This window comes from Homo sapiens, chromosome 9, assembly GCF_000001405.40.
Source record: "Homo sapiens chromosome 9, GRCh38.p14 Primary Assembly".
NCBI lineage: Eukaryota > Metazoa > Chordata > Mammalia > Primates > Hominidae > Homo > Homo sapiens.
This window is the reverse complement of record NC_000009.12, coordinates 94,910,217-94,926,821: the sequence shown is the minus strand read 5'-3', so window position 1 is coordinate 94,926,821 and position 16,605 is coordinate 94,910,217. Positions and strand designations below refer to the sequence as shown.

At 46.8% G+C, this 16,605-nt stretch overlaps 1 protein-coding gene across 51 annotated transcripts in view, besides 3 other annotated features; it reads right to left on the bottom strand.

The window, feature by feature from the left end:
• AOPEP (aminopeptidase O (putative)) overlaps positions 1 to 16,605 on the bottom strand; it is a 423,526-nt gene that overhangs the window by 223,403 nt on the left and 183,518 nt on the right. For 37 of the 51 annotated variants that reach the window (NR_169862.1, NR_169865.1, XR_929854.3 and 34 more), the window contains one exon: positions 2,647 to 2,836. The exons of 13 other annotated variants lie outside the window; for them this stretch is intronic. Coding sequence is in view for 28 of the 38 variants with exons in the window: in XM_011519121.4 (XP_011517423.1) it covers positions 2,647 to 2,836 (190 nt within the window). In the remaining 10 variants the exon portion in view is untranslated. Of the gene's footprint in view, positions 1 to 2,646; positions 2,837 to 5,476; positions 5,605 to 16,605 lie in introns of those variants that run through there. One more of the 51 variants, NR_169867.1, reaches the window with a different exon arrangement.
• Positions 8,190 to 8,691: an enhancer, noted in NCBI's record as "H3K4me1 hESC enhancer chr9:97680413-97680914 (GRCh37/hg19 assembly coordinates)". NCBI's record gives its function as "activates a minimal SCP1, AML or CMV promoter by ChIP-STARR-seq in naive H9 embryonic stem cells {active_cell/tissue: H9 hESC(naive)}" and the evidence as "EXISTENCE:reporter gene assay evidence [ECO:0000049][PMID:30033119]".
• Positions 9,789 to 10,289: an enhancer, noted in NCBI's record as "H3K27ac hESC enhancer chr9:97678815-97679315 (GRCh37/hg19 assembly coordinates)". NCBI's record gives its function as "activates a minimal SCP1, AML or CMV promoter by ChIP-STARR-seq in naive H9 embryonic stem cells {active_cell/tissue: H9 hESC(naive)}" and the evidence as "EXISTENCE:reporter gene assay evidence [ECO:0000049][PMID:30033119]".
• Positions 15,991 to 16,160: an enhancer, noted in NCBI's record as "experimental_110431 CRE fragment used in MPRA reporter constructs". NCBI's record gives its function as "activates a minimal promoter by MPRAs in K562 erythroleukemia cells, with activity observed for both the introgressed and non-introgressed 9:97673029 variant alleles {active_cell/tissue: K562}" and the evidence as "EXISTENCE:reporter gene assay evidence [ECO:0000049][PMID:34662402]".

Genomic DNA, 16,605 nt, shown 5'->3' with positions numbered 1-16,605 from the left:
TGTCCCCCGCAACCCACCCCCGGCCCCACCATGCTTTCTACTGCTCAGTGCTGCAGAGCACAGTCTCCCAGGCAGCAAAGTGACCCCGGTGACCCCTGTCACCCTGTATCCTCATGCCCTGCTCCCGGGTGGGGCCTGCTGGCCAGGAGCACCTGGGAGGTGGCACACCCACCCCTGCCCCACAGGGCACTCCCCCACTCCCTGGACGGTCTGAGGCAGGCACTCGCCAGGGCCAGCAACAGCCCAGTCTCGCACTTGAAGGGAGAGGTCAGCCTGGCGGACTTGCTCTGGAAATGTTTCAAACTTTGTGCTGGAATCTAGAATGGCAATTTTGCCTCAGGGATATTCATGTTTTCACATCTCGAAGAGTTACTGCATGTACCTCCAAGGATGATGAGGGGGCTGACTCCTATCATGTTAAGGGAAAAGAGCAACAGGGCAAGCTCAGCTCCTGCTGTCCCTTTAGGCTCACAACAGAAGCCACCGCCTCCACAAAGGCTTTCCAGGCCCGCCCAGACCTGTCCTCTCCTACCTCGGAATTCTGACAATATTTAGTGTTTACTTCTCTATGTAAACTTATCAGTCAAGAGGCAGGACCAAGCCAGCAGACTAAGGAGTGGCCTCCTAGAAGTCTAGGCAAAGGGAAGGGTAAGGAGGAGCACTCTTTGGAGATGCAGGAGATAAAAACTGGAGGTTCCATGATCAGATGCCTGGAATGCACCACAACTGCCAGGACCAGCGCGAATCTGAGAGTCTCAGAAGGGAGGCACTCCAGGGAAGAGATGGTGATAGAGGCACGTTCATATTAAACCCCTGCTGAATGCCTGTGTGTAAGACGGAGGGAAACACAAAGAGGAAGGGAACAGGTATTTCTTGTACATTCTCCACGTGTCAGGCACTGTGCTAAGCTCATTCACACCTGATCCCATTCACCCTGCAAGCTTTGGCATTCTTACATCCATTCTACAAATGAGGAAACGGAGGCTTGGGGAGGCTACCTAACCTACCTATACTCACAGAGCCAACGAATGGCAGAGCCAGGACTGGAAGTCTGTCTGACTCAGACCCCAGAGCCTTTTCTGTATCTATCATGTGGCCTCTCCTCACAGGACTCCATGTGGCAGGGGACACTGATGTGCACACTGCTGGGTCCACGGCCAGGGTATGAAAAGCAAGACCCAGCTCCAATTTAAAGCAGGTATAGTCCAGGTGTGAGGATAAGGAAATGACACAGTAGAAGGAAAAGAAAAAATAAAATAAGTTTAAAAAGGTAAGCACCAAGTATTGTGGGAACCCACAGTGTGTAGGAGGGTAGTGTTGAATTGTGAGCCGGGTAATCAGCCTGGGCTAGCTAGAGAAGGTGACCTCCAGCTGGTTAGTGAAAAATAAATAAGATTTCAACAGACAAAGGACCTTGAACAATATCATGCAGGTATGCACAAACTTGGGAATTTTGGAAAATGCCAAATAGTCCAGTGTATAAGGGACAGAGATGACAGGGGGAAAAAAGTGACCTAAACATTAGGAACTTGAGGCTGGGCGCGGTGGCTCACGCCTGTAATCCCAGCACTTTGGGAGGCCAAGGTGGGCGGATCACGAGGTCAGGAGTTCGAGACCAGACTGGCCAATATGGCGAAACCCCCGTCTACTAAAAATACAAAAATTAGCTGGGCATGGTGACATGTGCCTGTCATCCTAGCTACTCAGGAGGCTGAGGCAGAAGAATTGCTTGAACCCAGGAGGTGGAGGTTGCAGTGAGCCAAGATCGTGCCACTGCACTCCAGCCTGGGCGACAGAGCTAGACTCCGTCTCAACAACAACAACAACAACAAAAATAGGAACTTGAAAGTAAGCACGAAGCAGCTTAGTTGCTTATCATCCTCATTGGAACTGGTGGCCAATGCTTTAAGGTAGAGGTTGCAAACTGGGAGCGTGTGCACCAGGTCTGGCTTCTGGGTATGTTTGTCTTGCGTGGTATTTTTTAAATTAGTAAACTTCACATAAAAGTCCAGAATTATAAGTTACCTTAAAAAACTAATAGTGTAGGTTATATTGAGCCCTCCTTCCTTCACCATGACAATTGGTTAGAGCTGAGTAGCTGCTGTCAGTTTGCCACAGTTCTCACCATTCCCTAATCTATACCGCCCCTGCTTCATTCTTCATTCACTACTTGTGAGCAGACATCTGAGATGACTCTGGATTTATGTTTTAATCTCTTTATTTAAAACACACACACATACACTGCACACACACAAGTCACCACAATCACAACCACAAAGAAGTGCTTGAGTATGCTATAGCATGACCTTTTCTTCACATCTCTGCTCAAATATCTCCTTATCAGAGAGGCCTTCTCTTACTACCTTCTAAAATAGGACCCACTGCCCCTCTATGGGTCTCATTTCTCTTCACAGTACTCCAACACTTGACCCATTACTGATTCACTTGTCTACTCTCTCTCCCATCTCTAGATTGTAAATCCTGTGGGGAGTAGGGGCTTCCCTCTCTTATTTATGCAGCCATCTCCCCAGCAAAATTTGTGCCTAGTGCATAGTAGGCCCTCAGTCCATAGCTGTTGGGTGAGCAAATGACCAGAAATGGAATTTGACTCTGGGTAGTGAAATACTTAGGGTCACTTTAACCCACCTGCTGTGCTGTGGCCCAAAACACATCCTCCAAGTGAGTGGCGAAGCCTTCACTCAGCCACTCCTCCGTCCAGTCTCGGGCCCCGATGGCTAGGCCAAACCAGGCATGGGCAATTTCATGGCAGAGGCGGGTCCCACAGAGATGGTTCCCTCCTGTCAAGATGCTCTGAGAGAGGAACATGATGTGTGGGCTGTGGATAATGGGGGAGAAAATGCACAGAGTCTTGTTAGAGCCTGTCCTCATGGCCATCCGATGGGGCAGCTTTCCTAGCCTGGCAAGCCTGTTATTATCATGTGCATGCTAGATCATGACAGATAGGCTTGCGGCTTAGATGCTTTCAGACATAAATAAAGTGGCAGTTTATGTTTCTGGCTGTAGTTCAGGTGGCCGTTTCTGCCAACCAGTTTTCTCCATCATCAAACGGCTATTACCTGTAATAAGTAACCTGCACCAAAGTTTTACACTCAAAACAAAAATTACAAGGCAATGGAAGCATTTACTCTGAAATCTGGACTGTAAAAGAAGAGCAGGTGTGACAGTGTGAAGCCTAAGCTGTCAGGAGAGTGATCAAAGAAGACCCTTCAGCCAAAAATCTGAGCAGCTTACAAACAAATTGAGAAGTCATGCAGAAGGACAGAAAAAGCCAAGAAGAATGGAGCAGAAAATGTTCCATTCTGCACGGGGAGCTGGCTATGATGTTAACAAACGAGCAGGTGCCGGGGATGGCTGAGGTTTCCAGGAGGCCCGAATAAAGGCCGAGACCGTGTAAGGCCAAGCTTTTCCATCATATCTGCAAGTGCTTATAGACTCACATGACAGAACAAAATTATGCTGACAGAAAGAAGGCAGGGAGTTATCCCACCCAGGTGTGCAAATGGCCCCAGGACTGGCACCAGACAGGGAGATTTATCTAATCTCATTTTCCATACCTTGTGTTAAAACCCAAAATATCACCATTAAAACTGCATAGGTGGAATGGGAAGAAGGGGAGCTGACGAAAGAGGCCCATCAAATATCTTCCATGCCTCCTCCTTCAGCAATTATCCTTTTTCCAGGACTTGTTTACAGTCTTCCTAATGAAGAATTTGCCCTTAAAAAAATCTCTCCTCCATCAGTTGAACAAAAACAGTTGTGAAACCTTCCAAATTAGGAAACTGTACACACCGGTTCCTCCCTTCAAAAGTCATTTGTTTGCTATCATGTCGGCTCGGCACAAGCCAAGACTGCTCGCAGGTTTTTCTTCCACTCCCACAGCCACCATTAGAGAAAACCCCACCTCGAGTTCCCTTACACAACATCACCCATTCAGCTCAGAGAGCTCAACTGCAATCATGGTAGTCATGTCTGCCAAAACAGACAGCTTTCATGTGAAGTAATAACAGGGCAGGCATGCAAATGAAAAAGCATCTGCCAGGTGCTCTGAAGAGGACACCAGAAACCCCAGAAATTACAAGTGGAGTTGGGGCACTCAGGATAAAGGGGTGCGATGCAACAGGCACCAACAGTATTGTTCAGAGCACTAACTCAGGGGAAAAAAAAAAACAAGGAAGGAAGGAAGAAACTGAGAGACACAGGAACTAAACTCCCCTAACTGAGAAAGTCACCCCGTTGAGAAGACAAACTGTGCAACCTGGCATTTTCAAGTAAATGGCTCTGGCATGTGCAATGCTACAAAAAGCCACAGAAATGTACCAAGTAAATAACATTCCAGACATACTGCTGGCAGCAGTTCACCCTTTGGGCTAAAACAAGACAGAAGTAACTTCAGGCCTTATAAACAGGCTGGAGGGCAAGCCTGCGTGGGCAGGGTCTGCAGCCAGAAAGACAGACACGCACGTCCTTACAGAGACTGGAGGGCGGACTCCAGCCAGGAAGCTTCCACGAGTGGATGACTGCGAAATCGCTCTAAGACTATTCATGAAGAAAAAGCCTCCACTGTCCGGGGACCTGCCTGCTCTTCTGTCCCAGTGTGGAAGCCTCACCAGGGCCCATTTATGCAAATATAAAAGTCTGCGAGGGCCTGAAGGAATGCACAAAAGCAGCTGTGGGGAGGGTGGGTGGCACTTCTTTCTCCCACCCTTTCATTTTTTCCCCTTGAGCAGTCCTTGTTGTCTGCACCACACTTCCCTCCCCACCCTTCAATGTTCTGGAGACACGACCCCGGCCTCAGTCCATCTTGTTGGGCTTGGGACAGGACCCAGCGTTGCCAGAATTCCACCTAAATTTCCCCTTCCCATCTTCAATCCTTTCTTCTGAGTCGGGGGTAAATGTACTTCCTACTGTCCTCTGAGGGAGGCCAAGTCTGAACATCCTGCCGGCTCAGAAGGAAGGGCGTTTAACCATACAAATGACCCCACTATCTGCGGAAAACATGACCTTCTCCCTGAAAAGCAATTTTCCGGCTGGGAACCTGAATCGAAAGCCTCCGGGGCCCGTTTGGCCCTCTAAGGTTGGGTTTGACATACTGGATACTCTGGGGCTATTTCCCTATGAAGGAAAAGGCTTCTTTTAAAAACTAAACCAAAAACATGGAGTAAGGTTTTGATAACCTTTCTCAAAGGCTGTTAACAAAATCCTGACATAAAAGGACCAACAGAATATTCTTTCAAGGAGAATTTCCTTCCCTCCCTTGGGCACTAAATGTCTGAACGTCTCATGTTAAGTAGATTTAACCTCTTTTTTTAGATTGCTTTTCTTCAACAGTGAGTGAAGAAAAGTAATTCTCTTTAGCTCACTTCAAGGAATAATATTAAGTATTTCTTTCCCAACAGGTAATCTACCCATGTCCACCCACAAAACAGAACGGACCTGTAAAACACTGCACTCCTACCTCAGCCTGGACTCAACAGCCCAGCCCGGCTCCTCCTCATCCCTGCATTCTTGGAACTGTGCTCATGGTCCGAGCCGGCCTGCCGGCGATCAGTCTTCCCCCTGACAAGCCTCACTGGAAAACTGTTTCTTTTTTTCCCCTTGAAAGGGTCTGTGTCAACTGCCTCTACAAATGCCAGACTGTCGATTCATCATCATTACAGAGAATGGAAGATAATCACTTCAATGACATCTTCATCCTAAAAACGTTTCTTTCTTGTCTTTTTTTTTTTTTTTTAAATCACAGAGTTGATTATTTTTCCCAAATAAGAGATGGGCAGGAAAGTGATATTTCAAATCTCAAAAAACACAAGCCCTCTTGCTTCTATTCCCCACCATAAATTCTTTTTGGCTCCAAGTGGTGGAGGAAAAGGAGGTGGCAGGCAGGGGTGGCTTGCAGCCACACTCCCGTGTTGTCATTCTTCCCCAGCAGACCACCTCTGGGGCTGCCTCCTCCACAGAGGCCAAGCGTATTGCATGTCTGCCGCCTTGCCCCTCGAGATTAAAAATATCATGTCTGGTCTGAAAACACTTTCTCAAGGCTGTTCCTGAACACTACCTACCCACCCAGATTAGAAGACTGCGTCTGTTAATCTAAAACATGTTTCTAGCAGAGGAGGAAGGAGTGCCTTCATTACTCCCAGGAGCTGCTCCCATCCTTCGGGAGGAATTCAATTTGGAGCGGAAATGGAGAATTTCATCAGATCTTAAGTAGGAGCTGGTGTTTGATTTATTTGTGCTTTTTCCGTGGAGCCCTGACCAGCACGGCCCATCTTGCTGTGGGTGGAGCGACCCAGCACTTGGCGGCCCTGGCTAGATGCTGCTGCCACAGCAGGTTCCAGCAGGCTGCAGGGGTAGAAGGAACCCAGAGGACGGGAAATTGATTGCCCTTAAGGACAAGAAGAGCCCCCAGGCCACCCCTCCCATTTTACGGGAGCAGACCCCAATTCCCCTCATGGAGAGCAAGTTTACATTTTTTTTTTTGAGACGGAGTTTCCCTCTTGTTGCCCAGGCTGGAGTGCAATGGCACGATCTCAGCTCACCACAACCTCAGCCTCCCAGGTTCAAGCGATTCTCCTGCCTCAGCCTCCTGAGTAGCTGGGATTACAGGCATGCGCCACCACGCCCTGCTAATTTTGTATTTTTAGTAGAGATGGGGTTTCTTCATATTGGTCAGGCTGGTCTCAAACTCCAGCCTCAGGTGATCCGCCCGCCCCCTCTCAAACTCCCAACCTCAGGTGATCCGCCCACCTCAGCCTCCCAAAGTGCTAGGATCACAGGCATGAGTCACTGCGCCTGGCCGCAAGTTTACTTTTCACACAGATCCTTGGGAGGCATCATACAGACTTACATTTATCAAGCTGGTACTTCTTATGGATTCAACGCTTTTCACAATTTCAACATGTGCAGCCCAATATCCCATGATAGAGACAAAGGAAGACCCGAGAGAGGGGGGAACCAGGCTCATTGCCCTCTAAAGTCCAGCAGGATAGATAGTTCTAAGGGTCTTATAATCATGAGCAGCAGCTTCTGCTTGTGTGACTTCATTACTTGCTAATTTAAACTGGACAAGTGAAACCGTAGACTCGTAGTAGCCTGGGGCCATCTGAAAGGGAGACAAACTGTCGCTCCACCCCTCTTAGGTTCATAGCCTGTCTTCTCTTTCCTTCATCAGGTGTGAAGTGATGTATGTCAACACTCTCGCCTACACATTTACAAGCCGAACTCTCAGCCCCTGCCCCTTCTTCTAAACGAAATCCCTTAGTCCCTCTCTCCTGGACGCAGCCTAACGTAGGAGATGCTTCTGTAGTCCTGAAGCCAAAGTGGGGGGGTGGCCCAGACAGCCTGGCAGGACCCTCCTTCCCTCTGGCCCTGAGACTGCGTGGGAGGGAATCAGCATCTTCCGCTTTCCTCATCTGGCACCCACCCGACTGCAGTGTGTATCTTTAAACGGGAGGCTGAGGAGATGAGGGGATAGTCTTCTGGGGATATGGGACCTTCAGTAGCCTAAAGTGGAAACCAGTTCCAAAAACTTGAAGCAAACTTGCTACGTCTGATCAATGTGTAAGGGGATCTGAGTTTGAAAGAAAGGCTTAAGGTTAGAAGTGTTTTCTTAAAAATTCTGAAAAACTTTGGGAGGCTGAGGTGGGCAGATCACAAGGTCAGGAGTTCAAGACCAGCCTGGCCAACATAGTGAAACCCTGTCTGTACTAAAAATATAAAAAATTAGCCAGGTGTGCTGGCAGGTGCCTGTAATCCCAGCTACTAGGAGGCTGAAGCAAGAGAATGGCTTGAACCTGGGAGGCGGAGGTTACAGTGAGCCGAGATTGCACCATTGCACTCCAGCCCAGGCAACAGTGCGAGACTCCGACTCAACAACAACAACAAAATTAAAATTAAAAAAAAAAAAAATAGTAAAACATCCACTCATTTGCCTAAATGAATTTTGACTCAAATGTGACTACGGCAGAGAGACTGAGGAAAGCCCCAGGGCCACATTCCTTATTCTTGTACCCAAACATCTTCTCCTTCTGAAGACTGACTGCTCAGTGTTTGCTACGTGCCAGGCACTGTATTTTACACATGCCATCTCATTGCTCTACCCCACAACCTCAGGATGTTACTATTATTCAATTTCATTATCTCATTTTACACGTGAGGAAAGTGGGTACAGAGAGGCAGACTGACTAGCCCAAGGTCACACAGCTGGCAAGCAATAGAGCCAGGACTGGAGCTCACACAGTCTGGACTCTAAAGCCTCACTCTGATCCACTCTGCCCAGTGTCACTGGGTTTAGACCTGTGGCTTCTGGGCTCCCGTCCCTCTGTGCCAGCTCAAGCCCATGGGCTTCATGCTCACTACTCTCCCAGGAGCTCTGTCTTCAGGAGGCACCAATGGGAAGCTATCAACCACGTCCTGAGACCTCTGTTCCCTCAATCTACATCATAGCCAGAACTGGCCCAAGGTGAGCAGGCCTCCTCCTAGTGAAAGGAAGGTAAGAAATAAGGGTACAGAGGCCATAGGGGGGCATCACTACTCCACTGTTGATGCCCCTGAAGAGCAATGCCTACTTCCTCATAACCCTGTCCTACGCTGGGAGTCCCCAGTGGGTCACAGGGGCATGTGTTAGACAAGCCCTTACAAAGGTACTTAGGTCAGTCCCCAGGAGGGTGACACACAAGTCTACCTCTCCCTGATCTCCACCTCTCACCTATATTTGCTAAAGCCTGGTATTCTTTTCAAGTAGAGATGGTTTAAAGCAGGTCACAAACTCAAAGAGCTACAGGAGGCAAGAAGATAACAAAATTAGGGCCGTAGAGAATGAGATGGGGAAACCGATAAAAAGATGAGGGAAGTAGACAAGGAAAGAAGCAGAGAAAGGAGCTGGGGGAGCAGATGAGGGAAATAAAGATGGAGATGAAGGAAGCAGATAGAAAGATGAGGGAAGAAAATAAGACGAAGGAAGCTCATTACAAAAGAGGCCAACAGGCTGAGGGTAGCAGATATAGGTAACAAAAGGAGGGAGACAGAGAAAATAGGAAGGACAGACAACAAAGGGAAGGATGCAGAAGACAAGCTGGGGAGGCAGCTAACAAGATGAAGGAGAGAGAAACTGAGGTTAGGGAAGTAGCAGTGATACTATAGGGCAGTGGGCAGCTACGTCAGGGAAGCAAACAACGATGCCAAGGCTAGGAGCTCCAGCTTTATGATCTGGTTTAACTTCTAAGTGCTCTCAGAGGAGGCTTATGGTTTCATGTCACATGGAGATGTAAATGACAGATACCTGGATCCTAGCAAGGTTCAAGGTGGGTGCTCATGGGGGCCAGGGAAAGGCTCCAAAACACAGCACAGACGACACTGGGGAGGAGAGAGGCATGAGGGCGGAAGGGGAGGCTGGGGACACAAAACACTGTAGCCAGCTTCACCATTTGCTTTAGCGTTAGCTGTGGCCTATTGCTAGCAGGAAAAACAGCATGGCAACGACAAAACATGGAGACCACCTTGAGTCTAGGAAACACAGAGACCACCTCTGGCTCAGTGGCAGCTCTGCAGACCATACAGAAGGCTCAGCTACTGACCAGCAGAGCAGCGGATACATCCCTTCTGACCCCAGGGCAACACATCCCGAGAGAACGTTGTGGAGACCTCAGCCCTGCATACGGAACAGGGCAGCACTGCTGTCTGACTCTCAGGAGTTGGCCTCACCTGCCTCAGCTGCTCTGCCTTAGCCTGGGGGTGGGGTGGGGGCAGGTTCTGCCGGTTATGGTCATCAAAAAAGCTGCATGTGAAAGTCTCAGGTTTCAAAGCTAAAGAATCAGAGGGAGAAACAGTATTTTATTCAGTTTTTCAACTAGATTTGGACTCCTTTCCCTCTCTCAATGTGACAGTACATGTTCTGCCTTAAACATTCCAGAATCTCATAGATGAGAACAAAAAATTTGTTTTTGAACAAATTTTGAACATTCTGTTCATTTAGTTATACATTTTGGAGACTATAGATTTTGGTTGTCAGGGGACACACCCATACCCACACAATATGAACAAATATTTATTGTAACTGAACATGTCTTTATTTATTTATTTATTTATTTATTTAATTTTTTTTTTTTTTTGAGAGGGAGTCTCGCTCTGTTGCCCAGGCTGGAGTGCACTGGCGCTTACTGCAACCTCCACCTCCCGGGTTCAAGCAATTCTCTGGTCTCAGCCTCCCGAGTAGCTTGGGACTACAGGTGTGCCCCACCATGCCCAGTTAATTTTTGTATTTTAGTAGAGACGGGAGTTTCACCATGTTGGCCAGGATGGTCTTGAATTCCTGACCTCATGGTCTGCCCGCCTCGGCCTCCCAAAGTGCTGGGATTACAGGCATGAGCCTGGCCCTGAACATGTCTTTTGAATCATCTATAAATTACTTATGAATGAAAGCTGTGTATTTTCTGCAGGATCTGGGGAACTCTTCTGGTAAGTAAGTAATTAATGTGAGTAACCAACTAAAACATGTCGGCAGCCTCATTGGAGCACGCAGATGACAAAATGTGATTCCACTCCCTCACCTCCCCACGGCCCCCACCTCCGTCCTCCCCAATCAGGGCGATGATGTTTGTTCCCATAAAAAGAGCTAATAAAATTAGCCTCCACTGTGATACAGGGAAAATCTTTATTTAATAAAATAATGTGTTTTGCTCCATTTCCAGAACAGCAATAAAATGGCACAACTGAGAGCCGTAATAGCTCATCCTGGTGGTTTTCACAGCGAGCACAAGTCTGTCCCGTGTGGCGGTGTGGAGGCCTGGAGGGCTGCTTTATGGAGGGACACGTTGGGGCAGCTTGCAGCCATTCTCAGCAAGGACAGTTTGGTGACTGCTTTGCTTTGAAATACACTCTTTGGGTCCACAAATCAAATCTTCCCATGTTCCTTGTCTGGAAAAAGTTGTGGGGATTTCCTAAAGTGTACTCAGAATTCAATTGGTGAGGAAGGCATTCATTGTTTCCCCAACTGACAGCAAGAAGCCAAGCCCCAGTCAGGCCCTCTGCAAATCTGAAAATCCAAGGTAGGGTCAGGAAGCTGTTGACTTGCCCTGCTGGGCTGGTGAAAGCAGACACGAAGTAGCAAGGCTGGTCTGTACAACAAGAGGCCTGAGCGCAACAGAGGCACTGCCGGCTGACAGAGTTCAGGCAGCAGGACATTGGGGTGGAGGCAAGTGTGGGTTCCCTGCCAGACCACCACACTGTCAACTAGATTTCAAAGCAAGGGTAACTCTGGTCAGGCAGCAGGACGTCGGGGTGGAGGCAAGAGCGGGTTCCCTGCCAGACCGCCATACTGTCAACCAGATTTCAAAGGAAGGGTAACTCTGGGTAGGAACAAGCAACAGAGTGGCCTTGGGGAATAGCACGTTAGAATCAATTCTGCTAAATCAAAGTTAGATCCAGGAAAAAAGAATTGAAGGAAGATGAGTTCTCATATTCCCTGATGGCTGCGTGGTGGCAGGAGCGGTGATGATTAGAGCAGAAAGAAAAGAAAAAATAAAATGATGATACTAAACACATATATTGTTTATTTTCTCCCAGGCAAAGTTCTAAGTATTTTATGTTCGTTAACTCATTCAATTCCAGCAACCACCCCATGAGGAAGAAATTATTATCGTGCCTATTTTACATGTAAGTAAACCAAGCCACACAGAAATTATGTCACTTGCCTAAAATCCCAGAGTTAATATGTGTCAAAGCAGATTCAAACACAAGCAGCCTGGCTCATACACATGTTTTGCTTGATCAACACCAGCGGGTATCAGAAGCACCGGGAGGTAGGTCCGCTAGATAAGAAAACAGCACACGTACTCAAATTTGAATTTCAGATAAACAACGAATAATTTTTTGGTGTATGTTCCATGAAATATTTGCTAAAAGCTGGCAGCCCTACCTGAAAGGCTTGTTAAAACAGATCTCTGGGCCTCACCCCAAGAGAGTTTGTTTCAGTAGGCCTGGGTAGGGCCTAGGAACCTGCATTTCTGTGAAGTTCCCGGGTAATGCTAATGTGGCTGGTCCAGAGACCACATTGAGAGCTGCTGATCTGCACTGTGGTGGCTGCACAGCATCAGCTTAAATAGCAAAAACTCATTGCCAAAGTTTATAAATGGGAAGATTTTATCCAGAAATCCAGATTTTGACATTACATTAAAAATTTGAAAGATGTGGCCACACTAGGCCCAGGTCTTTTTTAGAAGTGGGCACATATTTATCCTGTACATACACACACACACACACACACACACACACACACACACACGTCTAATGCCAAAGGGCAATATTTTATCATTTCCTAAGAACAATAATAAGCATTACAGAGCATTTCAAAGATAGGATTTTATCAGGTCCCTGTTATGATTCATCCTGGTGAAATCCGAGAAGCAGGCAAAACCTGCTTTGGAGTCCCTCATCACAGGCCTGCATTCTTATGTAGTAACTGCAGCTGAATCGGAGCTGGTCCTTTCAGACAGGGCTTGGGCTCTCCAGTTTGCTGTGGTCCCAACTTCTCCCTCCCGTCTCCCTGCCATTGGCTGAGCCTCCTTGTCATTTATAATCATGTGTGTGGTTTTTTTCCTTCTTATCACAGGATTAAAAAGTGAAATATTTCTTACATCCATGTCTCCATCAAAAGTAGACCAAGTGTTTCTTAGAGGATGCTCTATCCAACCCATTCACTAATTTATATTGCTGCCTGGCCCCTTAGAAGCATTAGGATTTAAGCTGTTTTGTTTAGTTTTTCTTATGAAGAATTCCTATTTATGGCTATAAGATGATTTAGCAAACCCTTCATGCAAAGGGCAAAGACACAAACTTCTGCCTAGCTCAGGTTGATCAGACAAATTCCATATTACTAAGGGTGAAATTAATTGGGTTTATTGTATTTGTGAAATCCAAACACAGTTTCAGTTATTACTAGCCACTAATGGCTTATAATGAAGGCAGAGCTTGTTAACTAAGCAAACAACTGGCATGTTTGTTTAAAGTGTAAATAGAAGGAAAATTCATGAATTAAACGAATGAATTCACTGATTGTTCTCCCTTGGCTGTAAGGGGGCATTCAGCTGCCACAATATATGTCACCACCTTTGTTAAACAAATTCGCCTGCTCAAGTTATCTTTATCCGGTCAGAGACCGTCTTAGTGGTAGCTTAAAAAGTAAATGTCTCTCTTAATTTTTCAAAGTACTCATCTGCATCAATAAATGCCACTAAGTATAAGGGATCACCTGGCTATTGGGGATTCATAAATAATTGAACTTTTAAGAATAACAGCATATTTCCTAATCTCAAATTATGACTCCATGGATAGACCACCATGGCACGCTTGTCGAGATAAGGAGACAATATCCTTCTTATTTCCCAGGGTGGTCCTGGAAAATATGTGACAGATGGTCATCCTCAGAGGTATTCAACTTAACAGCATGTCCCTCTGAAAGGTAATAAACCTCACCAGAAACAAAAATAAACAAATAAAAGTCTCTCCAAAGTCTCTCCAAAGTCTCCTGATTTTAACTAACCTTTCCATTTAAAATTATGAGCCTTCTATTTCTTCTCCCCAAATGGAATGCATCAGGTTTATTGGATATCTACAGCTCAATCCCATTTCTCTGGATGGTTCCCTTGACTCATCATTCTTTGCATGTGTTCACCGTGGTGAAAATGTGGGCAAGGATCCCAGGAATTCCTTTCATTCTAAAGAATTCTGCCTGCCCATGTCCCCATTCCTAGGTGGTTACCTTTTTGTGATCTGAAAGGCACCCGGGTCTGTTTGGAATGTATTCAGCTGCAAGTAACAAAAAATACAATGAACACTGGCACACACTGGAGAGGTTTTTCCTTTCTTGAAACAATATCACTGGAGTGACAAGACCTTGCTGGGGCTGGTGCAGTGACTGGCAGTGCAGCGGGAGCTGGAGGACTTGCTATACTCCCACTCTCCATCCTTCCTGTGTGCACTTCTTTCCTCATGCTTGCCCCTCATGCTCACGGGTTGACCACTACACCTTCATGCACCATGTTCGTGTTTAACATGGAAGAAACGCGCTGTGCCAGCAACAACGATCCCTTTCATCAGGAAAGCAACTTTTCCCAGGGAGCCCATAGCCGAGATTCCTACTCTTTAGTCTCTGCTAGCTGTTAAGGCAGCATGGGAAAGATGCTTTTTGGTGTTTTCTGACTCTGTAGTGGAAGATGGACAAGGAATTGGGTCTCACACGGTCAGCCATGGCACCGTAGTGTAGCCCTCTTTCTCATAAATAGCAGAAAGTCATCACTTAGGTCATCTTTTAGAACGCAAATACTTTAGGAAGAGATAACGCACTCAACTCACACTGAAGTGTTAGTAACATATCACATTCCTTCTTTCCAGGCAGGGGACATTCTGAGCATGGGGGTCGGGGGCTGGGCAAGTCAGAGTACCTCAAAGACACTGGCTACCTAGTACCCAACTTAACTGCACGCTGGCTGGCACTTGCACTTTCATTTTACCTTCATACCCTCACCAATGACCAAACACCTAACAAAGCTAAGAGCGGTACTATCTATTCTAGTGGTTTTTAAGAACTCGGTCTTTGGGGACAGAGCTGGGGGTCAACTCCTGGCTCTCCCTCTTGCCAGCAGCATCAGTGCATTGGTTTCCTAGGGCAGCTGCAACAAACCACCACAAGTACGGTGGCCTAAAACAACACAAATTTATTATTTTACAGCTCGTCAGGTCAGAAGTCGGACACAGGTCTCACTGGGCTGAAATCTATGCTGCTGGAAGTCCTTGTGTGTGTGGTTGACTGGAAGGGGCACAGGGGTCTTCTGGAGTGCTGGTTATGTGCATTTCTTGGTCAGGGTGCTAGTGACAGGGATGTCTACAGTTTGTATCCAACAAGCTGTATGCTAAGATGTATACTTTTCTGTTTTACACTGCAATGAAAAGTTAAAAACAGACAAATACCCTGGGAGGTCCATCTTTTCCATGGAGAAACTGAGGCAAAGATGAAGTTAGAGCTCTGTCAGTAGGGACAGAACTGAGACCAGGGTCTGGGCAGCCCACCTCCTAGTCTTTTGAGTTTAATGTATTCGAGGCCAATTTCCAACACTAATTATGTATTATATATTTAAAATCTCTTGAGAAAAGCTTTTTTTAAAAAATTTCTTTTGCCATAGAGTCACATTTCTATTGCAAGTGAAAGGTACCTTGTATGCTTCAGACACACCTGTAAAAACAGAACCAATCCTGTCATATATCCCTGTCTGCTTCACTTTTTTTCAGACGCTGTGAAAAACATGCCACAATAATAAACCCCTTTTCCATCCTAGCCAGCTGGAAAATTACGTGATGCTTGAAGTGACATCATTCAGCTACGACACCAAGCCAGTGGCTGCTCTGAGAAATCTGGGTTAGACAATGACAGCATGGATGTGAATGCCACTAGGCAATGAATCCCACCCTTTTTATTAGCAAATGGCTGTTTTTATCACCATGACATTTTAAAAATGAAACTGTGACAGCTACATTGTCTGAGGCCATTGATCACCCAACATCTCTTATCTCCAAAAGGAAGCCCACTGGCCAGAGGTGTCCTGTTTCAAAGCAGGGAAGACAAGAATGGAGGTAAAGGAGAGCTCATTTTAAACCACTAGTTCCAAAGGGAAAGACCAGGGCCCAGGACTGAGGTACTGGGGTCTTCCAGGGGATAGACAGTCTTCCCTCTATCTCTATCAATTGTTTCTAAAGTGAGCTCAAGTAGCAGTAGTGATAATACCTTAAGTAGTAATGACAGTATCTACAATAATACTCTTTGCTATAGACACAGATACTGTATCATAAACCCTAGGCAAAACCCCAGGATGCTTATTAGGTAAACATAACATCACGAGGAGGCCCAGACATTCCTCCACCTTTTTGACCTTTAAGTTGAACTACATAAAATGCAATAAGTGACCCTTTCCAACTTCAAAAAATGGGCAATTTCATATGGCTCATCCTAATAGACTGGCCCCTCCCCCAAGATCCTTCTCTGCAGATGTGTTAGGAACTGCCAAAAGATCTAGGGAAATGTCCATACTTCTCAAGCAACAGAGAATTAGAAACACTGCTGCACCTCATCATATAAAAGTGCAGAGGATGGCCCTGGGGCAAAAGACGTCCTGCTGTCCTCCGAAAGAGCTGGACCCTCGACCAGTGGGCCCTCTGTCCTTTGCCCACTCAGTGTGAAGCCAGGTGCAATAGGTTAAAAGCACATCCTCAAGTCAACAGCAAAGGCAGAGGCGTGCCCACAGCAGGGAGACTGGAGTAGCATTAGGTCCCACCCTTGAGGGAGCCCAAGAAGATCCGCGGTTGATGTGCTGCGTGCTGCAAGGCTGCCCGAGACCCAGTCCTCGCTCGGAAGCCAGAGGACAAGGAAGCTGGGGTCCTACCCGGGTAGCAAGGTTTCAGATGACCAGTCTGCCACAGGTGCTGGATGCTTCTGCACTGGAGTGCAGGGCCCAGGGTAAGAGAGAGTACCCTGCTTCAGAGCCACTCTCCACAGGTGAAGAGGCATGGCCTAGTCGGTTCACAATCTGCCAGGGAGGG